General features: G+C 48.0%; 3 protein-coding genes across 33 annotated transcripts, besides 4 other annotated features; 1 reads left to right on the top strand and 2 right to left on the bottom strand.

Annotated features, from left to right (window-relative positions):
* On the bottom strand, positions 284-12524 carry CHTOP (chromatin target of PRMT1). 5 transcript variants are annotated; one of them, NM_001206612.2, is made up of 6 exons: positions 12247-12524; positions 9937-10018; positions 8142-8295; positions 4161-4347; positions 3226-3363; positions 284-1526 (listed from the first exon to the last, which is right to left on the bottom strand). In NM_001206612.2, exons 2-6 carry the CDS (start codon positions 9999-10001, stop codon positions 1321-1323), a joined length of 750 nt encoding a protein of 249 aa, NP_001193541.1. In that variant the 5' UTR covers positions 10002-10018; positions 12247-12524; the 3' UTR covers positions 284-1320. The 5 variants fall into 5 exon arrangements, with proteins under 5 accessions (NP_001193541.1, NP_056422.2, XP_016856482.1 ...); NM_015607.4 differs by having other exon boundaries at positions 4161-4344; XM_017000993.2 differs by lacking the exon at positions 3226-3363.
* Positions 12021-12100: a silencer, noted in NCBI's record as "silent region_1342". NCBI's record gives its function as "represses an Ori minimal core promoter by ATAC-STARR-seq in GM12878 lymphoblastoid cells {active_cell/tissue: GM12878}" and the evidence as "EXISTENCE:reporter gene assay evidence [ECO:0000049][PMID:35858748]".
* S100A13 (S100 calcium binding protein A13) lies at positions 12229-27791 on the top strand. 27 transcript variants are annotated; one of them, XM_047427433.1, is made up of 8 exons: positions 12229-12632; positions 14350-14435; positions 14527-14556; positions 15512-15579; positions 18353-18469; positions 18992-19107; positions 20057-20270; positions 27552-27791. In XM_047427433.1, the coding sequence occupies exons 7-8, from the start codon at positions 20118-20120 to the stop codon at positions 27693-27695; spliced, it is 297 nt and encodes a 98-aa protein (XP_047283389.1). In that variant the 5' UTR covers positions 12229-12632; positions 14350-14435; positions 14527-14556; positions 15512-15579; positions 18353-18469; positions 18992-19107; positions 20057-20117; the 3' UTR covers positions 27696-27791. The 27 variants fall into 27 exon arrangements, with proteins under 27 accessions (XP_047283389.1, XP_047283401.1, XP_047283400.1 ...); XM_047427445.1 differs by having other exon boundaries at positions 14350-14425; positions 18353-19107; XM_047427444.1 differs by having other exon boundaries at positions 14350-14425; positions 15479-15579; positions 18353-19107.
* Positions 12441-12550: an enhancer, noted in NCBI's record as "active region_1750". NCBI's record gives its function as "activates an Ori minimal core promoter by ATAC-STARR-seq in GM12878 lymphoblastoid cells {active_cell/tissue: GM12878}" and the evidence as "EXISTENCE:reporter gene assay evidence [ECO:0000049][PMID:35858748]".
* S100A1 (S100 calcium binding protein A1) lies at positions 14551-18156 on the bottom strand. Its single transcript, NM_006271.2, has 3 exons — positions 18094-18156; positions 15928-16081; positions 14551-14892 (listed from the first exon to the last, which is right to left on the bottom strand). The coding sequence occupies exons 2-3, from the start codon at positions 16066-16068 to the stop codon at positions 14749-14751; spliced, it is 285 nt and encodes a 94-aa protein (NP_006262.1). The 5' UTR covers positions 16069-16081; positions 18094-18156; the 3' UTR covers positions 14551-14748.
* Positions 17188-18011: an enhancer, noted in NCBI's record as "H3K4me1 hESC enhancer chr1:153601055-153601878 (GRCh37/hg19 assembly coordinates)". NCBI's record gives its function as "activates a minimal SCP1, AML or CMV promoter by ChIP-STARR-seq in primed H9 embryonic stem cells {active_cell/tissue: H9 hESC(primed)}" and the evidence as "EXISTENCE:reporter gene assay evidence [ECO:0000049][PMID:30033119]".
* Positions 18838-19663: an enhancer, noted in NCBI's record as "H3K27ac-H3K4me1 hESC enhancer chr1:153599403-153600228 (GRCh37/hg19 assembly coordinates)". NCBI's record gives its function as "activates a minimal SCP1, AML or CMV promoter by ChIP-STARR-seq in naive H9 embryonic stem cells {active_cell/tissue: H9 hESC(naive)}" and the evidence as "EXISTENCE:reporter gene assay evidence [ECO:0000049][PMID:30033119]".

Below are 27791 nucleotides of genomic sequence, written 5' to 3'. Positions count from 1 at the left end.
TCAAGAGATCAAGACCATCCTGGCCAACATGGTGAAACCCCATCTCTACTAAAAATACAAAAATTAGCTGGGTGTGGTGGCACATGTCTGTAGTCACAGCCACCCGGGAGGCTGAGGCAGGAGAATCGCTTGAACCAGAGAGTTGGAGGTTGCAGAGCCAAGATCGCGCCACTGCACTCCAGCCTGGTGACAGGAGCGAGACTCGGTCACAAGAAAAAAAAAAAAAAACATCATTAAAGTAGCCATGGCATTTTGAGGCACCTCAAATAAAGAGAGTCCTGGGTGGATTTAAGCGAACAGTTTGTTATAATGAACCAGAAATACAAGATTCCACTGAAACTGAACAGTTGACAGAATATGGTTGAACTTAAACCTTCAAGGGAAACAAGGGCAAAACAAAGCTAATGAGTGGAAAAGTCCAAGATTAGTTTGGGATAAACATGAGGATATAATTGCATTTTAGCATGGCTATCTTCTGACCTCTTCCAGCAGTTCGTCTGCCATCATTCTCCCTTCTGACACACCTACCAAATCAAATGGCTTCTGATCCTCTATATTGCAGTATAAACCAACCCTATAGTACCCCTCTGGTCATGATACAAACCCAGAAGGAAAGTCTGTAAATCTCATACAAAGGTAGAAAGTGCAATTCAACCCAACACGCTGGTTATGGTATATGTGCTGTCAATGTACATGGTAGCAACTTGAATCAAACCAGAGCTGCTACCACATGTAAGCAACCTCTTATGCTGCCCTGTAGTGATGTCAATGTTCTCAGTTTACTAAATTATCAATGTGGAAGAACGCATTTTTGAGCTCCAGACCTTCTAAACATTTTAAACAGGCTATCGAAGAGGATGTAACAGAACCCTATTTCAGAAACCTAAGGATCAGGGAGGAAGGAACACTGACCGGTTTTTCTGGGATGTTTCTGTGGGGGCAACAGGGATGAACAAAAGAAATGTTAGCATGTCAGAGCATATGACAAGTGAGGGGAGACAGAGGTAGGAAGAGGGTGTTCTAGCCACAAGGCTAATGCATTTGTGTTCAAAGAGAAGTCTGGGCAAAGGAGGGGAAACCCCCCCTCCCCCCTAAAAAAACAAAAACAAAAAACCAAATCAAAGGACAAAAGGGTTTCATACAACACAGTATCAAAAAGTAAAAGGAACACACTAAATGCACAAGCTGGTGGCAAGTAAGTCCACAGCCTATTGTGATAGGTCCATCCAGCATCAATCAGATTTCTTCTCATCTGTTATCTCAAGGTTATTTACAGATGTGTTGACTAACAAGAGTCTCTCATGGGAGGATGGGCAGGCTTCAATCATTGGTTTCGGGATCTGTCTGCGCCATGTAGGCATCCAACTCAGCATCCAGGTGTCCTTTTGTTTTCGACATATATGCATCCAATTGGTTGTCCAGCTGCTCCTTGGTCAATACAGGGCGAGCAAGGGCACCTCTCCCTCGTCCACGGCCTCGGCCTCGGCCTCCAAAGCCCCCTCTTCCCCGACCTATCATACCCCGACCTGGCCCAAAGGGGAAAAAAAAAAAAAAAGAGACAGTTACAAGTAAGTTTAATAGGTGCTGTAGTAAATGCCCCTTAGAGCAGTGGGGCCTAGCTGAGAAAAGCTGAAGGGCAGGGCAAAGAGGAGAAATCTGGAAAAAAAGGAAACACAATGGGTAGAAAGCAACACATGGAAAGCACACATAATGAATCCTCTATCACATGATCATCTCTAAATGCTATTTTAACAAATTTTATTCTATCAATAAAGGAAAATAATTAACTGGCAACTATAATTTTAAAAAACCTTAATCAATCCTAAGATAAAATTACCTAACATTTGAGATTCACTAAGTTCATAATTAAAATACATGACAGATAACCCCATTTGGTAAGATAGGGAGGTGGTAACAAGAGCACAGAGCATCAGGGGTGTGAAGACAAGACAGTTTTCAAATTAAGTTTATTGGAGACCCTTCTGGAAAGTCATCTCACCTGTCCTTAAACTTATCAAGTCTAATGAGCTAGCTGACCTCATGTGTCAGGAGACTGAGTTTTTCTGACACAGGAACAATGTAGGGGAGATTTGAAAAAATATTTTGAGTTGTCCTAGCTATTTCTACCTTTAATTCTAGTTACCTTATGACAACTGACAATTGTGGTTATCTGAGAAGCAGTGTGAATTCAGTTAACAAAACAAACTCAGCTTTTTGAAAAGCTATTTTAGTCTCTCCCACCCTCGTGATGTCTCTCAGGATCCAAGTCAAGATAATTTGGAAACATGTTATTTCATCCTGAAACCCAAACTAGCTTGCACTTCACTCAGTAAGTATCATATAATGGGAGAGAAGAAAACAAGCCCTTGGTTATCAACTTTTCTTTCCTAACAGTTATTATTCCTTGGCAACTTCAAGGTCATAAGTTATGGAAGACCCAAGACACCTTTTAAGAGAACCAAAGCAAATATACACAGGGGCTTCAATAGTGTTTTTTTTCTGGACAGGTGTTGGGAGTTTTCCACTAAGCTCTAAACCAGAAGGCTCCCATGAGATTTAGTATTAACAGCAGCAACATCATTAAACTCTTTCCCAATCTGGGTCATGAGGTCACAAGACAAACATCAATAAATTTCAAAGGCAAGATTATCAATAAGAGCCAGTTAGTTAACTGATAATAATTCCATCTTGCTCTCTACCTTAAGCAAAAAAAGTCATCTCTGGTTCTCCACAGGCACCAAATGTGACATTGAATTTATTTGGTTTCAGAGCCAATGCCCAGCTCCAAGTCTCACCACCCTCTTAACTCTACTTCATCTTTGTATCTCTCTCTCTCTTCTATATTCTCATGTGACTCAAACCAGGATTTGGAGCTACAGGGTGGTATGTGGTGGTGATGGTGGTGGGACAGGGGCAGAGAAAGGCAAAACCCTAAACTGACCATTTTGGGGGGTATTTTCAACTATACAATTTAAATTTGCAAGAGCTTGGAGGAAGATGGCATATAATCTGGCTCTATAATATGCACTTGATTGATTCTTGGAAAAATCATGAGACTTTTGCACTACCAGCATGGTAATTTGAAAAATAAGCCAGTTTCAAATAACAAAACAAGACAAACAAAGAAGCCTGCCTATGACTTGAAGCTGTGCAGAAAGGTGGCTCTGAGTTTTTAAGGGAGGAAAGTAAGGGGGAGCTACTCTCTGAAGTTGGTAGCTGACTAACCTCTACCACCGATTCCGCCACGACCCATAGCTCCACGCCCTAGGCCCCCTCTCCCAGGACCTCCACGACCTCGAACACCACCTCTTCTTAAGCCCATTCGGGGAGCTACGGCTCGTCCACCTCGGAGCAGGTTTTGACCTTAGAGAGGAGGCATACAATGTATATGCAGGTAAATCCAAGAGACACAAAGTAGATTCTAACCAAAGGAAGGCGGTGAGGGTTAAATGAAGGTAATTCAGTTAGTTTTTAGGTTGGCTGGGGCAAGCTGCATACTGTGAACAGATTAAGCTACTCTTTATTCAATCAATTCAACAAGTCTGACCACAAATCCATTTTTGGAAGTTGGGAGTTAATTCAATTAGTAAGTACATACATTTAATAAATATCTACTGAATAATCAGATAGATGCCTAGCATTATGGTAAATTTAAAAATAAATGCTATGGTTCCTGATCTCAACAGATTCTTCTAGGGAACAAGAACTATACAGGGAACAGAGTAATAGTGCCCCAAATGAACATATATAGGTAAGTGCTGTGGGTCAACTTGTCCTCTTTTTCCAGCTGTATCAGTGTTTTACTAGCACCAGGAACAAAGAGATATAGGCCAAAAGACCTATAAATTTCTTATGTTTGACTTGTTTCTAGAACTTGAATGTGCTTTGATTCAAGCAACAGCAGGGTGTTTTAAAATGGAATGGAGATGACATGAATTACCTGTTGTTACGCAGGTCATAGCCTCTCACCATTGCACATTATCAGAAAAGGAATGGTATTGATAAAAGACATGCAGCACTATTAAAAATATGTGATTTCAGAAGTTATTATATTAATACAAATTCAGGCTTAAAGATGTTAAACAAACGTGTCCATAAGCAGCCCAAGAGAAAAGGGAAGGGAGTAGGGCCCGACAATTATCAGGGTACACAGCACTGACCTCGGAGTGACATCCCGCCCCTAAGTAGGGTTCTGGTGGCACGTCCCCCACGTAGTCCTCCTCTGGGCAAGCCTCTCTGGATTATGGGTAGGCCTCGTCCTCCGATTGCTCCCCTGGCCAGGGCCCCTATGGGTCGGCCTAACCGTGCCTGGATGTTACTCTTACCCAGGCGCTGCTTTAAGCTCTTCTGGAAGAAAAGGTGTTAGGGGATTGAGATCAAAAAAGCAATCCAACAGGATTTGGCAACTCAAAGTGCAGAGAAAAAGAAGCAAGTGAGATGCTGGTGTGAAGGGAGATAAACCTGTTGTGGGTGTCAAAAGGATCCCAAACCAGAAGCAAGCCTTTGCCTCAGAACATGTTATACAAGCAGCAGAATTTTGATCCAGAGCAGAAACTCCAAGAAGCTCAAGTGTGGTCCCATGAAATGGGCATCTCCACAAATTACCTCACTAGTTTGGCTACAGAAGTCATACACTGCCAGTTGAAACTTAAGTTTTCGTAAGAACATTCTATAGTTCAATCCTGGATTGTACTGCTTTTGAACTACAGGTTGACAATTATATGACTTGATTCATACCTGCCCATGGACTACCACTGTCTTCAAAGGCTTACTCAAACACCATAGGAAGTTCATCACACTCTGGGCAAAACTTAAATTACAAGTTCACTTGAGTTCTTGTGACTTAAGAACAAGATTGATTTCTCAAAAAGGCCCGTGTGCTCCATTTTTCCTCTGAGAATCTATTTCCAGACGGTCCACTTTTTACCTTAAGATGTAAATAAACACAAGAAAGTCAAATCTCCTTTCCTTACATTTCTTAAAAATCCCTAATTCCATGCCTGCACTTGCAAACAGCTCCTTTAAAACAATGATGACCTTAAATTAAAAATAAACATGTAACTCAAATGTATCTCCACAGTCAGCCAGCCAAACGTATGTTAGAATTATTCAGGTGATCACAAAACTCAGGGCCATATATAAGAACAAGGACACACTACAGAGATAGGGTATTTTTAAGAATCTGTTCTCAAAAGAAAACCATTAAGACTACATCTCAGAGAATTAAATTCCTTCAAAGGAAAAAGGGACAGCAATAGCCCTGAACACAACCAAGCTCCTAGTAAGCCTGGCTGTCCATAAAGCCATCAGTCAATCTGAAAGAAAATAAATTGTATAGCCCCTTCAGGCTTCACCCACAAGTGACTACCAACGTGTATGTGTGTGTTTTCTAATCAACCTCTCAAAAAGATGCTGTGAAGCATTATTAACTTTCTAGCACAAGATCATAAATTGCTTCTCATCAGTGGGGAAGGCTCCAAACATTATGCATCTAGCATAAGTAGGTGTAACCAACCGTAACGGCCTGTCCTGTTACTCCCGATTAACACACAATTATCAGGTTAGAACTGCATTCCACAAGTCTCTTGCGTTCAGTTATCCTGCATATATTAATTCTCCCAAGCTTTGTGCTTTAAAAGAACTGTACAGTGCTGGGAAGTTCTTTACCCATTCCAATCCTTAAGTGCCACCAATACCGGCCTTTAATATTAACAGGGAAGTTAAGGATGTCAACTATACCACTTAGTTTCCCTTCTAGAGGTGTGCTGTGTAAGGCAGCCTCTATAGCTACATGTGGCTATTTCAATTATTTTTATTTTGAGATACAGTCTCGCTCTGTTGCCCAGGCTGAAGTGCAGTGACACGATCTTGGCTCACTGCAACCTTCGTCTCCCAGGTTCAAACAATTCTCCTGCCTCAGCCTCCCGAGTAGCTGGGATTACAGGAGCTGTCATCACGCCTGGCTTATTTTTGGTGGAGACGGGGTCTTGTCATGTTGGCCAGGCTGGTCTTGAACTCCTGACCTCAGGTGATCCACCTGCCCAGGCCTCCCAAAGTGCTGGGATTACAAGTGTGAGCCACCATACCCAGCCTAAATTAAAAGCAAATTTTACTTATTTTCTTGAGACAGAGTCTCACTGTCACCCAAGCTGGAATGCAGTGGTGCCAACTCCACTCACCGCAACCTCCACTTCCTGGGTTCAAGAGATTCTCCTTAGCCTCTTGAGTAGCTGGGATTACAGGTATGCGCCACCATGCCCGGCTTTTTTTTTTTTTTAGTAGAGATGGGGTTTTGCCACATTGGCCAGGCTAGTCTCAAACTCCTGACCTCAAGTGATCCGCCTGCCTTGGCCTCCCAGAGTGCTGGGATTACAGGCCTGGCCTAAAATTAAATTAAAAAAAATTAAGCTCCTTAATTGCACTAGTCACATTTAAAGTTTTCAATAGCCACATGTGACTAGTGGCTACTGTACCGGAGAGCAAATACAGAACATTTCCATCATTGTAGAAAGTTCTGGCTGGGCACGGTAGCTCATGCCTGTAATCTGAACACTTTGGGATACTGAGGCAGGCAGATCACTTGAGGTCAGGAGTTCAAGACCAGTCTGGCCAACATGACAAAACTCCGTCTCTACTAAAAATACAAAAATTAGCCGGGTGTGGTGGCGGGCGCCTGTAGCTGAGACAGGAGAATCGCTTGAACCCGGGAGGCGGAGGCTGCAGTGAGTTGAGATTGCACCACTGCACTACAGCCTGGGTGACAGAGCAAGACTCCGTCTCAAAACAAACCAAACCAAACCAAACCAAAAACATAAAAAAATTCTATTTAATAGTACTACTCTGGATAGGGACTACTTCCTGCAGAGCCTATACTTAAAGCTTCTTGTTGAAAGGTCCTTTGGAATGATCTGTCAGAGATTCATCTTCAGCAACTTCCATTTACTCTTGGAAAATGGTGCCTTTTGCTGCTTTCCTGAGTCAGGGAGGAATCCAGTCACTCCAAGGCTTAAGGTAGCCGAAGCAGACACCCTTGTTTATTTTTGGTCAGTGAGCCCAATGGTTCAGGGTGGGGGTGTAAGGGTGTTATATTTAACTGCTGAATTTATGCATAGCCATGCAATGCTACCAAAGCCCTTACAGTTGCATGGCACTGCCCTCCAGACGCCCAGCCACAGCTTGGACATATCCTTCCACAGCCACTGTCCGGACTTGCATATAAATTCTATGAATAATAAAGAGCAGGTTTTATTTCAGGTCTGAATAGGATTATCTCTCACTGTAAATTTGAAAAAGAGAACCCCTAACTCAAATTACTCAGTATTCTTGCTCCACTTTACTGGTAAAACTTTAGGTGCTGTGGAAATGAGGGTCACTCTACTCTGTATATTTTAGCATTGAAAACCTTTGACTGCTGGGCGCGGTGGCTCAAGCCTGTAATCCCAGCACTTTGGGAGGCCGAGGCGGGTGGATCACGAGGTCAGGAGATCGAGACCATCCTGGCTAGTATGGTGAAACCCTGTCTCTATTAAATATACAAAAAAATTAGCTGGGTGTGGTGGCGGGCACCTTTAGTCCCAGCTGTTCGGGAGGCTGAGGCAGGAGAATGGTATGGACCCGGGAGGCGGAGCTTGCAGTGAGCCGAGATCGTGCCACTGCACTCCAGCCTGGGCGACAGAGCAAGACTCCGTCTAAAAAAAAAAAAAAAAAGAAAACCTTTGACTAAGGCCATGCAAACTCCCTGCACTATGGGAAAAAGAATAAAATTATTTCCCTGTTGGGTAAATCATTTAACAGAGAGTAAAGGATGCTGTGAGATTATCTAAAGCTGAAATAAAGTTTCTTTGTGGAATAAGCCATTAATCTATGTTAAGGGTTAAGGATCAGAAAACAAAAGATTAATACTCATTGGTAACAGAAACAGGCCACATAGATGGCAAACTCCCTAAAAGAGAAAGACAGTAAAAAGTTACTTATTGGTACCTGCCAAAATTGGAATTCTCTGAACTTCTCTTTCTTCCAGAGAAGTTTCAGCTTTTTGCCCTGAGCCACTTTGCAATCATCCATCACGTCCTGACAGCCTCAGTGGACTCCCTCACAGAGATCACCAGCTGCTTCTGGAGCATTAAGACCCATTCTCTCACCTGCTTAAGTTTTAATGCTGCCTGGACAGAGGGTCTATTCTCCATCTGCTGGGCCAGTCTTCTGTTTCTGGCACTGGCTAGCTGCTGTTGTTGCTGCATCGAAGCCCGAATATTCACTGGCGTCGGCTGTTTGTTCTTCAGCATATTAGTAAAGCTTCAAGGTCGAACAAAATGGATGTTTAAATAAAAGCTTTATTACAAACATTTATTGGCATTTTCATGGCTTGCTAGACCAGGAGCTCCAGATCCCACGAACTTTTAAGTAAAGTGGTACACTTAGATCAAGGCTGATGTGGGTTAAAGACTCCTCTGTTTCCACAAACTTGCAAGAATCAGAAACTTAGAAATGCAGCTAAGTGCAGCACATTCAACCAAAAGTGATAACGAGGGCTCAGGTAACGGCTTTTAGAGAGGTGGAAGGTATGAAAAACACGCAATAAGCAGATATGACAAGAGACAGAAGATATAGTTTCAAAGACAAATGAAGAAAGCCTAAACCTTGGGGGATCCGAGGTGCATTCTAAGGCCAAATATGAGGAAGGATTAGAGCACCTTCAAAGCTCACAGCAATGAACATACTCTCATAAATTACAGGAGTGTATCACATTTTAAAATATATGTCACTAACATGCAAACATAAATATTATGCAAACATAAATAATTAGCTTATCATAGCCAAAGAGATAAGGAGAGAAGCACATATGCCTCAGAAGAGGCAAAAATAGACATTAAGTAAATTTCAGTGGTCGAAAGTCAACTTAATGAAATCACTGATCAAAGGCATTCTTTTTTTTGAAACGGAGCCTCACTCTGTCCTCTGTTGCCCTGGCTGGAGTGCAGTGGCAGGATCTTGGCTCACTGCAACCTTCGCCTCACGGGTTCAAGTGATTCTCCTACCTCAGCCTCCTGAGTAGCTGGGATTATAGGCACACGCCACCACGCCCAGCTAATTTTTCTATTTTTAGTAGAGACAGGGTTTCACCATGTTGGGCAGGCTGATCTCAAACTCCTGACCTCGTGATCCGCCCGCCTCAGCCTGCCAAAGTGCTGGGATTACAGGCATGAGCCACCGCGCCTAAACAAAGGCACTCTTAATGAACAAAGTTGTCAGAGATAGAAACTGCCTTTGAATATCTTTACTTTTCTTAGTCTCCAATCATCACTTTTTCTGACTCCAAGTAGTTACTTTTCAAAGTTACATCAGTTTGATCATTTATGAGCCTGTGAAGAGACTCATTATTTCTGTCAAGGAAGTATAATGGAATGGAAGAGAAGAACACTTAACTGTAGAAGAATCCAAAACAAAACCAAACTAAAAGCAGAATGGAAAGAAAGTGAAATGGAGCAAAGCGAGTGCCTCTTACAAGGCCCAAGAATGACATTCAAGGGCCTTTGGACATATTCATGGCTTGCTACCTGCCTCTTACAGGCCAGACACAACACTGCTGGCCTTGGACTGGGCAGCAAGCCTACTGTAGCCAGGGTACCATGCTACCGTGCTGCACGACCCCAGTATCAACGTAAAAAAATGTGAAAAGGAAGAGTGTTAGGAGTCTTTTAAAATACATCCCACCAAATAAATACTTCAGACAGCTTAACATAAAAGTCTACTGATAAGGGGTTTTGAAACAACCGCCCAATTTGTTTTGTGTACCACATGAGATGCAACTAAGAACAGAGGTCTGTAGCCTTCTGTTGGTATTTAGCTTAAAATTGGCTTTGTGCATTGGACCCCAGGGCCAAGTTAAGTAATGTTTTCTTAGGAAGGAGTTGAAGTTGCTGTTGGCTGCCTCACCGCTCATTTAGAGACATCTTGGTGGTGCTTTTTAGCACAACTTTCGGCGCTGACTGTGCAGCCATCTTCGAATCCCGAGAATCTACAAAGAACAATACGTAAAATGAGCAAATCACAATAGTGACATCATTTCTATAAGTGGCAAGGCCCAAGCCAAAAATAAATAAAAAGGCCTTATCACTGATGACTAAAGAGCACACGAGGGCACATTTCAAGTGCTTAAATTTCTTTTTTTTTTTTTTTTGAGACAGGGTCTCGCTCTGTCACTCAGGCTGGAATGCAGTGGCCACTGCAGCCGTAATCTCCTGGCCTCAAAGGATTTTCCCACCTTGGCCTCCCAGTGTTGGGATCACTGGGACCCAACGCCCAGCAAAAGTTCTTAAGTTTCTATGGCAATTACCTCAGATTATTATAACTTCAAGGTGGCTGGGTATGGTGGTTCACCGCCTGTAACCCTAACACTTTGGGAGGGCAAGGGCACAGGATGGTTTGAAGCCAGGAGTTAGAGACCAGCCTGGGTAACAAAGCGAGACCCAGTCTCTACTAAGAAAAAAAAAAAAAAAAATTAGCGGTGCATGGTGGCCAGCACCTGTTGTCCTAGCTACTCAGGGGAGCTGAGGTGGGAGAATCGCTAGAGCCCAGGGGTTGGAGGCTGCAAAGAGCCGTGATCATGCCACTGCACTCTGGCCTGAGACCCCATCTCTTTAAAACAAACAAATAACCCCAAACAAACAAACAAACTTCAAGGCCCACAAAATACCCGGGAATTTCTCAAAAACGGCAGAAGCCAATCTAGCAATCAAAGTATGGAGTCTGGCTTTTTTTTTTTTTTGAGACAGAGTCTGGCTCTGTCGCCCAGGCTGGAGTGCAGAGGCGTGATCTCAGTTCACTGCAACCTCTGCCTCCCCGTTCAAGCCATTCTCCTGCCTCAGCCTCCTGAGTAGCTGGGACTACAGGCACGTGCCACCATGCCCGGCTAATTTTTTTTTATTTTTAGTAGAGACGGGGTTTCTCCACGTTGGCCAGGGTGGTCTTGAACTCCTGACCTCACCTGATCCACCCACCTGGGCCTCCCAAAGTGCTGGGATTACAGGCGTGAGCCACCGCACCGGGCCGAGTTTGGCTTTTACTCTAGAGCAGTCATTTTCAACCTTGACTACATATGACTTATCCAAGGAGCTTTTAAAACATAGGGCCGGACAGGGCGGGCGCGGTGCTTCACGCCTGTAATCTCAGCACTTTGGGAGGCCAAGGCGGGAGGAATGCTTGAGCCCTGGAGCTCGAGACCAGCCTGGGCAACATGGTAAGACCCCGTTTCTATAAAAATATAAATTAATTAAAAAAATAGAAAATACAGACATCTGGGCCTAGATCAATTAAACCACAATCTCTGGTAATGAGGTTTGGAAATGAACCAATTGTGGGGTCGGGGGAAAGCTACCTAGGTGCTTCTAATGTGCAGCTAAAGTTGAGAACCACTGATCTACAGTGAAAATACAGGCAGGGCCGGGCGCGGTGGCTCACGCCTGTTTTCCCAGCACTTTGGGAGGCCGAGGCGGGCGGATCACCTGAGGTTGGGAGTTCGAGACCAGCTTGACCATCATGGAGAAATGTCTCTACTAAAAATACAAAATTAGCCGGGCGTGGTGGCGCATGGCTGTAATCCCAGCTACTCCGGAGGCTGAGGCAGGAGAATCGCTTGAACCCGGGAGGCGGAAGTTGTAGTGAGCTGAGATCGTGCCATTGCACTCCAGCCTGGGCAACAAGAGCGAAACTCCGTCCCCCCCCAAAAAAAAATATATATATATATGTATGTATATATATACATATATATATGCATGCCTAGTTTCAAAAGTGGCTTTCAACTCCAGAATCAAGTAGGGACTTTAACAAGAAACTGACGATCTGGGGGAGTAGGAAAGGTTTTCTAAATTCACCTGGGAATTAGCTCGCAAAGAGCCCTCCACAAAACTTAACCCTAAAGCCGCCATTAATTTCCAACATTCCTCAAAGTCTTGTACTTCTTAATCTCCCTACCATCCTCAAAGCCCTGTCAAGACTTCCACTTCTGCTCTACCCGCCAAGTTTCCTTTTTATCCTATCAAACCCCAACCTCCATCAATCCCGCCACCAGGTTCCAGTTCAGCCCCTCCCCCGCCCCTTCGCAGGGGCTCCGCCTCCTCCCCGGGGCCTCCACGCTCCAACACCGTAGCTATGTCCACATGCCACCACCCCCTTTCCGCGTCCGCCGGCCCCTTCCGCTCCTCAAGACCGCACCTCCCCCGGCTCCTTCTCACTACCGAAACTCACCGAAGGAAACAGACGCCAGTGCTCCTCCCGGGGCTGCCACCACGGCTCCGGCAGGCGGGCCGGGGACCGGCCGAACCTGAGTTGACGGTGGAGGGGCTCGGGTTAGCTAGATGGGCGGTTGGTTAGATGCGTAAGCGGTAGTATGCGAGCTCAGTTCGTTGTTGCTGGTTGGCTGTCTAGTCGGCCGATCCGTCTGCTCACCCGGCCTGCCCTTTCCTGCCTTTCGTCTGCAGCGGCCGCCAGCTCCTGCTCGGTGTCCAAAACAAAATGGCCGCCACGTCCAGTGCTTGTCTGACCGGCTAAAATGGCGTCTACGCAATTACGTCAGGCGTCAGATCCGCGCACGACTAGAGGGCGGGAAAGATTTGAGCTACGCCTGCGCAGAGGTCAGAGGCGGAGCCTTAGGGCGAAGGCGGGGCTTTCCATGCAGTGCCCCGCCCCTAGGGGCGTGGCCAATGGTCCTGTTGTTGGGGCGTGCCGGGGACTTCACGTTCCAGTAGTGGTTGCGCTGCAACCTCTTGGGGGTAGTTATTAATGTGGGCCTTAGAGGGGATTTGGGTCCCGAATTCCCTCGCCCCTCCGTTCCCTAGCCAAGGTACACCGTCTAAAAATCTTTACGCGGACTTGCCTCGTCTTCTTCCGGACAATTGGGCCTGGGGAATTTGCACTGGTTTTCCCCTCATGGCCACTCGCCCAGTCTGAGAGTTGTGAAGTGCCGTAAATGCTCCAGCCAAGGCCCAGGAGGCCAGTATTAGGAGCAAATTCCTCTCCCATCCTGCACCGGCCAACACCACCGCCCGTCCATGTTTTCCTCCTCACTTCCTCCCCTCCCCAACTTGGCCTAGATACTGTTTACTCCTTCTTGGGGTGGGGCACCTTTGCGTCCTCGATTGCGTTTCCATGTCCTCCCCCCACACCTGCCATCCGTGTTTATTTTGTTGCAGACCTACATAGGGATTTCTCTTTTCTCTCTCTGATTTGTTGTTGTTATTTTGAGACGGGGTCTGGCTCTGTTGTCCAGGCTGGAGTCAGTGGCGCAATGAATCACGGATCACTGCAGCCTTGACCTACTGGGCTCAGGTGATCCTCTCACCTCAGCCTCCCGACTCCTAGGATTATGGGCATAAGCTATGTTTCCTGCTCAATAAGGGATTTTTCTCTCTTTCTTTTTTTTTTCTTTTTGCAGATGGAGTCTCGCTGTGTCACCCAGACTGGAGTGCAGTGGTACCATCTCGGCTCACTGCAACCTCCGCCTCCCAGGTTCAAGCGATTCTCCTGCCTCAGCCTCCTGAGTAGCTGGAATTACAGGCGCGTACCACCATGCCCCGCTAATTTTTGTATTTTTAGTAGAGATGGGGTTTCACCAGGCTGGTCTCCAACTCCTGACCTCAAGTGATCTGCCCGCCTCTGTCTCCCAAAGTGCTGGGACTACAGTCGTGAGCCACTGTGCCCGGCCTCAATAAGGGATTTTTCTAATGACTATGTGCACAATACAGTGTACATATGTTTGAGGAATGAGAGAATGACACATCTGCAACCCTTCCTCTGCTCCACTGGCACGTCAAGACCCTTTCATTTTCCTTCCTGGCACTTGGGCGTGTGCGTGTGTGTATGTGTTTGTGTGTGTCTGTGTGTAAGTAATGGCCCAGCATCCTTACCCATGTGAGGGTAAGGATCGTGGTTATTTTGCTTAATGCTGGAGCCTCAGTTCCTACAGTGTTTACACATAGTACCACTTAAGTAAATGTTCGTTGATTGAAAGAAGATTCTTTCGGCCTAGCGCGGTGGCTCATGCCTGTAATCTCAGCACTTTGGGAGGCCGAGGCGGGGGGATCACGAGGTCAGGAGATCGAGACCATCCTGGCCAACATGGTGAAACCCCGTCTGTACTAAAAATACAAAAAATTAGCCGGGCGTGGTGGCAGGCGCCTGTAGTCCCAGCTGCTCGGGAGGCTGAGGCAGGTGAATCGCTTGAACCTGGGAGGCGGAGGTTGCAGTGAGCCGAGATCGTGCCACTGCCCTCCAGCCTGGGTGACAGAGCCAGACTGTGTCTCCAAAAAAAAAAAAAAAAAAAAAAGATTATTTCTTCCTCTGGTTTTATAGTTGAGAAGCTGATGTCTCCTCGACTTCCAACTGGAACCTTGAACCCCCACATTTCTGGACCTTGAGCATTCCTCAAGTAGGAAGATGTAATGCACCTTGACCTCTTTCTAAATAAGACACTTCCCCAAATAAGGGGAGTTGAGAGTGAACAGTCTTCACGTCTCCACCCACTTCCAGATCCCAGAGGAGACAGACATCGGATGGCTGGTGAGAGAGAAGCCTTTAATGAAAGATGAGTTGCAGGCTTGGACCGCTACTCTTGCGCCCTTGGTGGGGGTGGGGGTGGGGTGGGCAAGGGTGGGGTTATGGAGAGGGATAAGTGGGGTGAGGTGGAAGCAGGGGGAAGAGGCAGGTCTGGGAGGGTGGAGAGGAAGGGCGCTGCCCAATGTGGCTGTCTGCTCAACTGTTCTCCCAGAAGAAATTGTTACAGGCCACTGTGAGAGCAGCCACAAGCACCACATACTCCTGGAAGTCCACCTCCCCGTCTCCATTCTCGTCTAGCTCCTTCATCACCTTGTCCACAGCATCCACATCCTTCTGGGCCTGTGGTGGGAGGAGAGGAAGAGGGAGGTGTATAGGGAAGGGTACAGCACTGAGTCAGAGGCAAGGGGGTGGTTGAGGAGCAGGAGGCAAAGATGAGCGAGAGGAACTGCATTGAATTATGGGACTCTTCTAGGCCTCCTCAAAGGTCTTGAGGGCTTCTGTTGCCTACAGCATAAGCTCTTTCACCTGGCAGAATGAATAATAATGACACCAGTTACCGTATGTTCAGTGCCTATAATAAAGCAAGCACTACACTAGGAGCTTTACAAGCACTGTCTAATTTAATTCTAATACAAATAATGTGAGGTATGTTTCATTATTTCCATTCTAGAGAAGAAACAAATTGGTAATCGGTGGTTAAATAAATATGCCCAAAGTCCCACAGCTAGAAAGTAGCAGGGCTGGAATTTGAACCCAGTCCAATAAAACCTCAAAACCGGTGCACTTTCTACCGTATCCTGAGGCTTCTTTACTTTGGGGCCCTGGTTAGCCTTAGCAGCCTAGTTTTCTACATCCTTCATGCCAGTTGAATGAAACTACTGACATGCTCCACATTCTTCTTTCTCCCATGCTTTTGTTCATTCAGTTACCTCCTCCTAAAATGTCTGCATTTACCCAGATAATCTTCCAATGGAAATCCATGGTTCAAGTGCCACCTCTTCAGGAAAGCCATCTGACTTCAATCAGGTTAATAATCTCTCATAACCCTTTCTGGTACATCTGTTAAGGCTCTGTGTATTTCCTGGAGTTCATGGTTTACTTTTAAGTGTCAATCTTTCCCTTCTAAGTCTGTGTGTCTTATTATTGATGAATCTACACAGGGCCTAACACTTAACAGGTGATCAATAAACCAGGGCATTTTGACTTGACCCAGGAGGAGTAGGGGAGCCTGGAAAAACCCAGGAGAGAAGCCTGGGAAAGGAAAGAAAGAGGCTAGGCTGAGCTGGAGGTGGGGTGGGGAGATAGCAAGGGGGTGTCCACCCCATTCCCCCAACCTTCACCCACTCCACTCCCACTCCACCACTCTATGCTCACATCCAGGAAGCCAGAGAGCTCCGTCTGCAGCAGCTCTTTCAGCTCCTTCTTGCTCAGCTTGTACTTGTCCCCCTCTTTGCCCGAGTGGGCGTGGAACACGTTGATGAGGGTCTCCATCGCCGTCTCCAGCTCAGAGCCCATTGCAGCAGTGCACCTACCCACCCCCATCATGGAAGTGAGCTGAGGACCAGGCCCGGAGTACCTGGGGTCTAGGTGAGGGGAACCCTCAGGACTGGCCCTGGCTGACAGCTCAAATAGCTGTGGGATTAGAGCCCTACTGCAATTGATCTTTCCCTGAGATTTTACAATGTGAGGGAAACCCCAAGAGACCTAAGTGCAGGCCTGTTCTCTGTGTCCCTCAGTCTGTACCCCAGCCAGAGGGAATCAGGGTTGGGGCATGGAGAGAGAGCAGTTGGAGCTGGGCTGGCTCCAGAGGCCTGTGGTAGATGTCTGCAGTGGCTGCCCAGGCAGGGATTGAGGAGGGTGGGGCAGGCAGGGGTGGTCACAGGACTGGGCCATGCTTCCTCTGGCTCTATTTTTACCCTGGACCTTGCCTGTCTAGCATAGCCAAGCTCTGCTGTTGAGGGTGGTGGGCTGGGGTGTCCACTACAGCCTTCCTTCTGCTGCCCACCCCTAGCAAGGAGTCAGTCTGGTACCCTCGGTCAGCCTGGTAGAGGGGATGGCAGCCCCAGTGGGTGGCGTACGCCTTCTGGGGGAGGGAGGTCTCACTGACTCTGAGTTTCCTGTCAGCAGCTGGGGGCCCCTTTTGGTCCTTCAACTCTGTTCTCTCCTGAACATGTCATTTTGGCTTCTTTGGGATATGCTCCCATTGCCTCTGCAAAATTATCCCTTCCATCTGGTGGGTGGCAGAAGGGGAGAGAGGAATGTCTGAGCCTTTTCCTTGGAGCCAGAGTTCCCAGGGAGTGGGAGAGGAGACCTGCAGGCGTTGTCCCTGCAACTGCTCACTCCTGGTTGATTCGGGGATAGTGGGAGCAAGGGGAATGGGGCTGCTGTGTGTTGGGGGAGAGAAAGGGCTGAAAGCATGCGGTCCTTTGAGTTCAAGGGGCTGGGAGAGAGTAGGAGAAGAAAGGAGAAAGGAGTGGTCTGTTGAGAGAGAAGACTGCCAAGCCGGGGGGCCTCTTTCCCTTGGCCCTGGGACAGTCTGGCCTTCCACAACCCCAGAGGGGGCAGCTCAGGTGTCTCGGATCAGATGTCCCCATCCTTCCCCAGGCCTAGGGGGCTGGACAATGGCCCCTGATCGAATGACATCCCAGTTCTTCAATGGGGCCCTTGTGAGTGTCATCTGAACTCCGGACCTGAGAAGCAGTTGTCACAGAGACATGGGGGAGATGGAACCCAAGCTGTGGCTGATGAGGGGATAAGGGGTGCTTGAGGGAGGGGTGCTGGTAGCTTGATTACCTGCTCCATGCCAGAGGGGCAGCTGGAGGTCACCTGGAGCCCTAAAGCAGCCTGGGATTTTACGTGGTGGCAGTTCTGAGAGGACTTGGGGGCAGGGGAGATGGGGAAACAAAGAGGTAAGAATGGGGGGAAAGAGGAGTCAAGAGGTCTGGGCCAAAAATGGGAGGAGGAGAAAGGGGAGGTCCTGTGGAGGTCGAGTTGGGAAGGGGCACAGCACCCTACATCTCTGCTTCCCCATATCATGGGAGCTTTGCCCTGCCACCCCCAGACTCCCCCGGGACCTGAGCTCTTGGCAAGGCAGGGTGGGGGTGGCAGAGACTAAGGCTGGCAGGAGAGGTGGGGGCAGAAACAGCTGTTGTATCTGCTCTCTTCTTACCCCACAGGAGGCGAGGCAGGGGAGGGCTGGGACCCTTCCCAACACCTGGGAGACAGAGGGGGCCTTGGCAGGGACTTGAGGGCTCCCTGTGGGAGGGCCAGGCGGTCAGGAAGCTCATGGTGGGTTCCCCACTGGCTTCCTCCTTTGCTGAGCTGCCAGCTCTCTCTCCGACCTTCAGTTCATTTGTCTCTCATCACCACCTTCCAAACCCTGTCTCCCCCAAATCCCAAACTGCCCTCACCCTGACTGACTCCTCCCAGATCCTCAGTGCTCCACAGTGCTATGGTCCCCAGCCTCTTGGAGCCCTTCTGAAGACCCCTCTCCCTGAAGCTGGCAGGCCAGGGACTAGCCCAGTGGGGCAGGGTACTCACGGTTGGCCTGGGCCTGAGGTGGGAGCAGGTTCTGGACAGATGGCCAAGGTTGCAAATGTGGCTGCTGGAGCTGTGTGTGGAGACCTGTCTTCAACAGTCCCTCCCCCGCTGACCCCCCCACCGACTCCACCCCTTCACAGACGAACACCCTGTGGGGCAAGGGGCCAGGAGCAGACAGAGGCGCCCTCTGTCTCCTGGGCTGGAACAGGCGGCCCTTGTCTCTTTCCCAGCCTTGCTTGCCCCGTTCCTTTCTCTCCAGGCAGCAGTGGATGGTGCAGGGGAAAGAGGTGGGAAGGAGGTCCTGGGAGGGACACTGGATGTCTTACCCCAAGCTGGGCCTTGCAGTACCTGTGGCTGGCTGTGCTGGTTGAGCCCGGTAAGGGGGGAATTCTGCTGAGGGGGTCTTAGTCTGTGGCTCCTCCATGGGGCCTCACTGAGAGGACCCTCAGTGAGAAACTTAGTCTTGGGAGTCTGAGAACCCACAGAGGGATTTCAATCCAGGACTCTTCTCTGGGGGTCTCAACCTGGATCCCCCTCTGTGTGTGGGGCCTCAGCCTGGGGTTCTCTGAGGGATCTTGGTCTGTAGCATCCTTTGTGGGATCTCATTCCAAGGGGCCTCTGTGTGTGTCTCAGATTGGGCCTCTCAGTGTTGAGCTCCCTTGATTGGTTGCCTCCCTCTTCCCCCCTCAGCATACACACTCCTGATTAGACATGGGTATGGTGGCAGCAGCCCCCAGTATTGAGAGGACTAGGACCCTGGGACCCCTGCCGAACGAGATCTGTCCAGGCAGCTCCTCTCCCTGACCAAGTGGGGGCGCTCGTGTGGCTGGCAGGGAGCCCGGGTCCAGACCTGAGGGCTCAGGGCAAGCGGCCTGATTGGGCTGTCTCTGGTCTTCAGAATCGACCACGGAAATTTGACACCTCCGGGCTTGGAAGCAGCTCTCTCCTCCTTCCCCGCTGCTTATAAACCTCAGCCCTGAGGCTCCAGCTCACTCTACCCCATCTCCTTGCCGGGTGAGTCTCATGGCTGACCCTGGAGGGAGGCTGGAGATCATTTTTTCTTCCTGGGCTCCCAGGTCCCTCCCCCAGAGCCAGCTCAGACAGGAATTCAGGAAGGAGCTTTGGATGATCGAGCAACAGCGCGTGCAGGAGTGTGTGACGGGGTGGACAGAAAAGAGAATGCCTCTTCCAGCCCCACCCGCCGCACCCCAGGGGGTTGTGAGTGCCTGTACTAAACCCGTCCTGGAGCAGGGAGTCAGAGACGCCCCGTTCCAGGACCCTTGTCACCGGGAGACAGGAGCGGGGAGGATCTGTGGGGTCCTGGGTTCAGCACTCTGCCCTGCTGCCGCTGAGGAGAGGTAAGGGTGGAGCGGGGCAGAGAAAATGGGTCTGTTCAGACGGAGCCAGCTCTGACCACAGGGGACATTTGCCAGACCCTGTGCTTCTCTGCTGGGAGGAGCGGTTAGAGTGTGTGTGGGCGGATGCGAGTGGCCGGAGACCAGGGCCCAACATAAACAAGCTTTGGAGACAAACAACCTTATGACCTGTGAGTCTGGGTGAGACAAGAAGGGATTCTTGAGACAGACACGCCACAGAGGGGCCACCAGACTTGAAGGACTCCAAGAAGGACCTTCAACTGAAGACCTCCTCTCAAGTAGAGGGGTCTCCAGATCGAGGGATCACCACAGAGGGGTCCCTAAGCCACAGACATTTAAAAAGGATCCCGGATTGTGAGACCTACAGAAGAGGGGGTTTCTGGAGCTGAATCTCCTGCCCCCACCAAAACTGAGATGCCGTTGCCTGGTCTGCTGCCCCAAGCTCAACCCCTGTCCTCTCCCTCTTTCCCCATATGCCCCCTCCAGGCTGAGACTGATGTGATAACACCAAGGCAGGGACCTTCTGAACCATTCCTGCATCTTGGGGCTCCCTGACTCTCCCTCTCTGCTCCTTCTCTCTTCCACAGGTCAGCCCTGACAAAGGTCAGCTAGCCCCTTGAGGACATCAGCTTTGGCCTCAGGGTCCTAATGGCAGCAGAACCACTGACAGAGCTAGAGGAGTCCATTGAGACCGTGGTCACCACCTTCTTCACCTTTGCAAGGCAGGAGGGCCGGAAGGATAGCCTCAGCGTCAACGAGTTCAAAGAGCTGGTTACCCAGCAGTTGCCCCATCTGCTCAAGGTAGGCAGAAGTCTGGGACTGAGATTTTGTGAGATGATGATTATGGGACACTGTGTTTAGGACGTGATGGTGCCGAGTACGGTGAGGTGACCACAAGAAAGGGTGTGGGTGGCTGCATGTGTCAATGGTTGCAGGTTTTCTTTTGTTTTTTCGAGACAAAGTCTCACTCTGTTGCCCAGGCCGGAGTGCAGTGGTGTGATCTTGGCTCACTGCAACCTCCATCTCCGGGGTTCAAGTGATTCTCCTGCCTCAGCCTCCTGAGTAGCTGGGATTACAGGTGTGTGCCACCACGCCGAGCCTATTTCTGTATTTTTAGTAGAGACAGGGTTTCACCAGGTTGGCCAGGCTGGTCTCGAACTCCTGACCTCAGGTGATCCACCCGCCTCGGCCTCCCAAAGTGCTGTGGTTACAGGCGCAAGCCACTGCGCCTGACCCGGTTGTGAGTTTTCTTGCCTGGTGTGTACATGTGTGTGTTTGTGTGTCCATGCATATAATTAGGTAAGCAAAGATACTATGTGCCAGTGGGAGTATGGTCTTGTGTCAGAAGATGCTGTTGGGTTCTTGTGTATGCTCTGTGCCTTTCTGGTCTAATTTCCCCAAGACAGGACTGGACCCAGAGCTGGCTTCCAGGAGATTCACAGACTGTCAGAGCTGGAAGGAGGCCAAGAGAAAACACAGTCCGCATTCCTCACTTCACATATATGGAAACTGAGGCCTAGCAGTGGAAAGGGGCTTATCAAAAATGAAAACACAGCCAAATTCATGGAGTCATAGACCTCAGTGTAGGGGGTCTGTGGGTGCATCTGTGAAGACTCCCTACCCGCTATGGGCATCCCCTTACTAGGGTGTAAGAGTCATTCCTTCTCTCGCACTCACAGGCTGGAGTCAGGTCTTAAATTTCATCGACTCTGGCCTCGAAGAGGCCTGGTCATTCTGGCTGTTGACAGTTTGTTTTACATCCTTTCTGAAAATCCACAGGCACGTTGAAGTGTGTGAATATGGACTCCTTGAACACAGTGAGTCTCTGAAACTCATGGTCTTTCATCTGCAAAATCCCCTACAACTTCCAACTTCTCAGACTTTTTTTTGAGACAGGGTTTCTCACTCTGTTGCCCAGGCCACTGTGCGATCACAGCTCATTGCATCCTTGACCTTCCGGGCTCAGGCAATCCTCCTGCCCCAGCCTCACAAGTAGCTGGGACCACAGGCGCATGCCACACTGCCTGGCTAATTTTTTCTTTTTTTGTGACAGAGTCTCACTCTGTCACCGAGGCTGGAGTGCAATGGTGCGATCTTGGCTCACTGCAACCTCTGCCTCCTGGGTTCAAGTGGTTCTCTTACCTCAGCCTCATGAGTAGCTGGGATTACAGGCAACCGCCACCATGCCTGGATAATTTTTGTATTTTTAGTAGAGACGGGGTTTCACTATGTTGGCCAGGCTGGTTTCGAACTCCTGATCTCAGGTGATCCACCTGCCTCGGCCTCTCAAAGTGCTGGAATTACAGGCGTGAGCCACCGCGCCTGGCCTAATTTTTAAGTTACTTGTAGAGATGTGGTCTCTCTGTGTTTCCCAAGCTGGTCTCAAACTCTAGGCCTCAAGTGATCCTCCTGCATTGGCCTTCCAAAGTGTTGGGATTACAGTCATGAGCCACTGTGCCCAGCCAGACGTTTCCTTTTTCATCTTTTTTACTGGAAACTTCAGGTTCTCTCCTGAAGGGACAGCATTCCTTATATCCTTGTCAAGCAGTGATTGTGGTTTTTTTTTTTTTTTTCCTAAATTCAACTTCCTCTGGGCCTGGAAATGGAGGAAGTGACCTCTCTGCTTTCCATTATCTCTAGATTTTAGTTTCTTCTTCTTTCTAAGACTTCCCAGCGCCTTGGAAGATCATCTGCCACCTGCCATTCTTCTTATTGCGCTCCTTACAGCTCTTCAGCTCCTGGCTCACTGTTTTCTTCTCATCACTGCTTCTGTTGTTATTCTCAGTGGCTTCAGCATCCGCACAGACAATTCATCCAACATCTGGGCCTTTCAATTTTCTCAACTCCTCATTTCCAAAAAGATTTGTCTTCTTACATCTCAGCATCCCACTCCTCTGTTCATGCTTTAGACTGTGTCATTAACAAAATAACGCACAACTTCCAAAATCTTGATTTCAAGTTTCCCTTTATCTGCTGACCTCCTCCTGTCATTCCAGTTCTGTTCCCCTCTCTAGCTTCTCCACTTCAGCACTTCCCTGACTCCTCAGGTACCTTCAGTCTCTCGACCCTCTCACTTTTGCATCTTCCATCAACATCCCTCGGGTCCTCATTGCCCTTCCTCCTCACCTCAGGTTCTAAGGCTTCTAATTGTAATCACTGCCTTAACCCCGTTGATTCTGTCTCTCTCTGTTCTCAACCCAGTTAATCCACCATTTCACCTATAGTAACTTGCCAGTTAAATCCACTGTTCTGCACCTGCACTTGGATAGCTGAATCTGGCTGGAGAAAAATGCATAGCTTTGTTGACTTGTCTCACTTTAAATCTATAACCACAGACCCCAAAAGGGACCCTTGGCAATACCTGGCGGTTCTGTGTTTCCCTGGTTGATTCATTTACCAGTTCTTTCAGATAATTATTTCACAATTTGTCTTCTCTCCTCAAAGCTCAGTACATCTTTCCACGTTCTCCCTTTTCCTGAGAAGTTTACTCACTGAGAAGTTCAGGACTTCGAGACCAGCCTGGCCAACATAGTGAAACCCCATCTCTACTAAAAATATATTTAAAAAATTAGCTGGGCATGGTTGTGTGCGCCTGTAATCCCAGCTACTTGGGAGGCTGAAGCAGGAAAATTGCTTGAACCCAGGAGGCAGAGGTTGCAGGGAGCTGAGATTGCACCACTGCACTCCAGCCTGGGCAACAGAGGGAGACTGTCTCAAAGGAAAAAAAAAAAAAAGGAAACGAAAATAGGAGCAATCAGGAAACTTGTATGTGCTCCCTCCCCGAAATCAGCAGTCTTCTGTTATGCAAATGATACGTCACTGCCCCTAAGGCCAACCCTTCACTGGTGCCCTGGATCCCATCCCCTCTCACCCACTGCACTCCAGTCTGGGTGACCGACAGAGCGAGACTCCGTCTCAAAAAAAAAGACTTTCCTCTTGAAATTACTCCTCTCTTTCTTGTGTCCTCAAATTTTCCTTCTCCACTGTATCGTTCTTACCAGCTTACAACTGATACCTCTTTTTTTTTTTTTGAGACAGAGTCTCACTTTGTTGCCCAGGCTAGAGTGCAATGGCGTGATTACAGTTCACTGCAGCCTCTACCTCCTACGCTCAAGTGATCCTTCCACCTCAGCCTTCTGAGTAGCTGGGACTACAGGCATGTGCCACCATGTCTGGCTAATTTTTTAATTTTTTTGTAGAGACAGGGCCTCTGTACGTGTGCGTGCATGTAATTAGGTAAGCAAAGATACTGTGTGCCAGTGGGAGTATGGGCTTGTATCAGATGATGCTGTTGGGTTCTTGTGTATGTTCTGTGCTTTTCTGGTCTAATTTCCCCAAGACAGGACTGGACCCAGAGCTGGCTTCCAGGAGATTCACAGACCATCACAGCTGGAAGGAGGCCAAGAGAAAACACAGTCCCCATTCCTCACTTCACATATATGGAAACTGAGGCCTAATTTTTAAATGTTTTTGTAGAGGCAGGGCCTCATTATATTGCCCATGCTGGTCTTGAACTCCTAGGCTTAAGTGATCCTCCTGCCCTGGCCTCCCAAAGTGTTGGGATTACAGGCATGAGCCACTATGCCCAGCCCAATCCTTTATTGATGGAAATTTTTCTTATGTCCATTTCTTCCTTCTTGCAAATATCTGTTTGTATACCTACATACTGGTGGAAAAATAACAACATAAGGTAAATGTTTGGCAGTAGAAATATTAGGTTAAGTGGCATGTTCATTTTTAATTTGTTTTTGAGAAAGGATCTTGCTCTTTCACCCAGGCTGGAGTGCAGTGGCATGATCTCGGGTCACTGCAACCTCTGCCTCCCAGGTTCAAGCGATTTTCCTGGCTCAGCCTCCCTGAGTAGCTGGGACTACAGGCTTGTGCCACCACGCCTGGCTAATTTTTGTATTTTTAGTAGAGACGAGGTTTCGCCATGTTGGCCAGGCTGGTCTCGCACTCCTGACTTCAGATGATCTGCCTGCCTCGGCCTCCCAAAGTGCTGGGATTACAGGGGTGAGCCACCGAGACCAGCTTTCATTTTTAATTTTTGTGATTACCAATTTGCCTCCTAAAAAAGTTGTACCAGTTTATATGGCTACCCACACTTCATGCGATGCCTGTGTACTTGTCCAAACTGGGTGTTATTGAGCTTTTACTTTTTGCTAATCTATGATGTGAAAATGATATCTTTTTCTGATTTACGCTTATATAATTCTGAGTGAAATGGAACTTCAATTTTTTTTTTTTTTAATTTTTTTGAGACGAGGTCTCACTCTGTCACCCAGGCTGGGCTGGAGTGCAGTGGTGTGATCTCGGCTCACTGCAACCTCCACCTCTTGGGTTCGAGCGATTCTTGAACCGTGCATCACCATGCCTGGCTGATTTTTGCATTTTTAGTAGAGATGGGGTTTCTTTCTTTCTTTCTTTCTTTTTTTTTTTGAGCAGCAGCAAGATTTATTGCAAAGAGCGAAAGAACAAAGCTTCCACAGTGTGAGAGACCCGAGCGGGTTGCCCGAGATGGGGTTTCATCACGTTGGCCAGGCTGGTCTTGAACGCCTGACCTCGAGTTATCCACCCGCCTTGGCCTCCCAAAGTTCTGGGATTACAGGCATGAGCCACCATGCCCAGCCAGTAACATTTTATAATGTTAAAAAGAATCCTGTAGGCCGGGCGTGGTGGCTCATGCCTGTAATCCCAGACCTTTTGGAGGCTGAGGTGGGTGGATCACCTGAGGTCAGGAGTTTGAGACTAGCCTGGCAAACATGGTGAAACCCCATCTCTACTAAAAATAGAAAAATTAGCAAGGCGTGGTGGTGGGTGCCTATAATCCCAGCTCCTCGGGAGGCTGAGGCAGGAGAATTGCTTGAACCCAGAAGGTGGGGGTTGCAGTGAGCTGAGATCATACTACTGCACGCCAGCCTGGGCGACAGAGTAAGACTCCATCTCAAAAAAAAAAAAAAATCCTGTAGATAGTTTAATTGGGATCATATAAAAGATATATTTTAGGGAAAATCAACATTTTTAGCTGATTGAGCCTTTCTCTTTAAGAAAAATATATGTTTATTCCATTTTCTATTTATTCAAGGTTTTTTTTAATATCCCTGTGGTATAATATGAAATATATAGTTGTCATTTTGTATCCATGGGAATTGTTCCCAGAACCCCCTTGGATGCCAAAATCCTTGGATGCTCAATTACCTTTTTTTGTCCTTTTCTTGTAGAGATGGGTGTCTCACAATGTTGCCCTGGCTGGTCTTGAACTCCTGGGCTCAAGCGATCCTCTCACCTTGGCCTCCCCAAAGTGCTGAGATTGCAGGTGTGAGCCACCATGCCTGGCCTCAAATCCCTTATATAAAATCAGATAGTACTTGCATATAACCTATGCACATCCTCCTGTATACTTTAAATTACAAGTAACTCTAGGTTACTTGTAATACATAATGCAGTGCCTACTCATCACTTCATTCACATGGATTCAACTTAGTACTTAGCATGGGGCAAAATTTAAGTTTTGCTTTTTGGAACTTTGTGGATTTTTTTCTTCAAATATTTTTGGTTCTAGGTTGGTTGAATCCAGGGCTGTGGAACCCACTGATACTGGTATGGTATTTGGTATTTGGCCTTTGTTTTGTTTCTGTCACAGCTCTTTTTTTTTTTTTTTTTAGATAGTCTCACTCTGTCACCCAGGCTGGAGGGCAGTGGCTTGATCTCGGCTCACTACAGCCTCTGCCTCCCACACTCAAGCGATTCTTCTGATTCAGCCTCCCAAGTAGTTGGGACTACGGGTGTGCACTATCACACCGAGCTAATTTTTGTATTTTTTTTTCTTTTTTTGAGACAGAGTCCCACTCTGTAGCCCAGACTGGAGTGCAATGGCGCGATCTCTGCTCACCACAACCTCCGCCTCCCAGGTTCAAGCAATTCTCCTGTCTCAGCCTACCGAGTAGCTGGGATTACAGGCTCCCACCACCATATCTGGCTAATTTTTGTATTTTTAGTAGAGGCAGGGTTTCACCATGTTGGCCAGGCTGGTCTCAAACTCCTGACCTCAAGTGATCCGCCCACCTCAGCCTCCCAAAGCGTTGAGATTACAGGCGTGAGCCACCGCACCCTTCCTGCTTCTTCTTTCTTAATACTTATTTATTTCTCTTTACTGATTGAATGCACCCCCAATATAATGTTACAGTAGCCATCCTTGCCTTCCACTGGCAGTGCTTATAGTATTTTATAATTAAACGTGGTTGTAACTTAAAAAAAAGTCTTTTTTAGTTCTTCTGTGAATCAGCTTTGTTCCCTTTAGAGATTCAGTGAGTCTTCTCTGTCTGCATCCAAATGTTGGTTCAAACCTTGAGCCTCACACCCTGCCTGAGGCACCCTTCTCTGGTTTGATGTTGAACTATTGTTCAACAGTCAACTTTTTGGTTGTGCTTGTTTATCTGGCAACAGGTCCTTCGATCAGGACATCCAGTTTACTGTTGCCATTGATTTCACAGGCCTATGAGAGATACCCTGTCAAGGGCCCCTAAAAACCCAGATACTCCATGCCCTTGCCATTCCCCTGATCTAGTGACCCAGCTGGATAAATGAAAAGACACAAGGGTTGTGCAAATGAGCAGCTAAGTACTGGGAGCTTCTCCAGCTTTCTGAGAAAGAGGAGGGTGGCCCCAGAAGGCTCTGACTGGGTCCAACCCTGCAGCATCTCCCTGAGATGCTGGCATTCCTTGGGCCGATCCCACAGCAGCTGCAGTGGTGTGCTGGTGAGAGAAGATTGTGTGGATTTCTTTCCAGCTTTGTATTCAGCGACAACCTGTTTGTGGTTTGTAAGCAGCCATCGTGGAAGTATTTACACAACGGCAAGCACTAGGACTCAGGCCCCCCCACCTTTCTCTGCTGGTGCTCCTTGGAGAGGCACCCCGTGGCGGTGCAGTTTTGGGGCTGCAGCCTCCTTCTTTAGAGAAGGGGCAGGTGCCACTGCTCTCTGAGGGAAGGGCCTTGAGAGAATAGCAGCTGACAGTTCTTCCCTCCCTACTTTCTCAAGAACCCCAGTTTCTAACTCTACCCTTCCCTTTGGTGTCTCCTCAGGATGTGGGCTCTCTTGATGAGAAGATGAAGAGCTTGGATGTGAATCAGGACTCGGAGCTCAAGTTCAATGAGTACTGGAGATTGATTGGGGAGCTGGCCAAGGAAATCAGGAAGAAGAAAGACCTGAAGATCAGGAAGAAGTAAAGCCGCCTGGCTGAGATGGGGTGGGCAGGGCAGAGCTGATCAGGGCCGAGCAGAACCGCACTCTTCCCAAATAAAGCTTCCTCCTTGAAACACAAA

Source organism: Homo sapiens, chromosome 1 (genome assembly GCF_000001405.40).
Source record: "Homo sapiens chromosome 1, GRCh38.p14 Primary Assembly".
Taxonomy (NCBI): Eukaryota; Metazoa; Chordata; class Mammalia; order Primates; family Hominidae; genus Homo; species Homo sapiens.
Note: the sequence above shows the minus strand (reverse complement) of the source record. Positions and strands in the feature narration are given on the sequence as shown.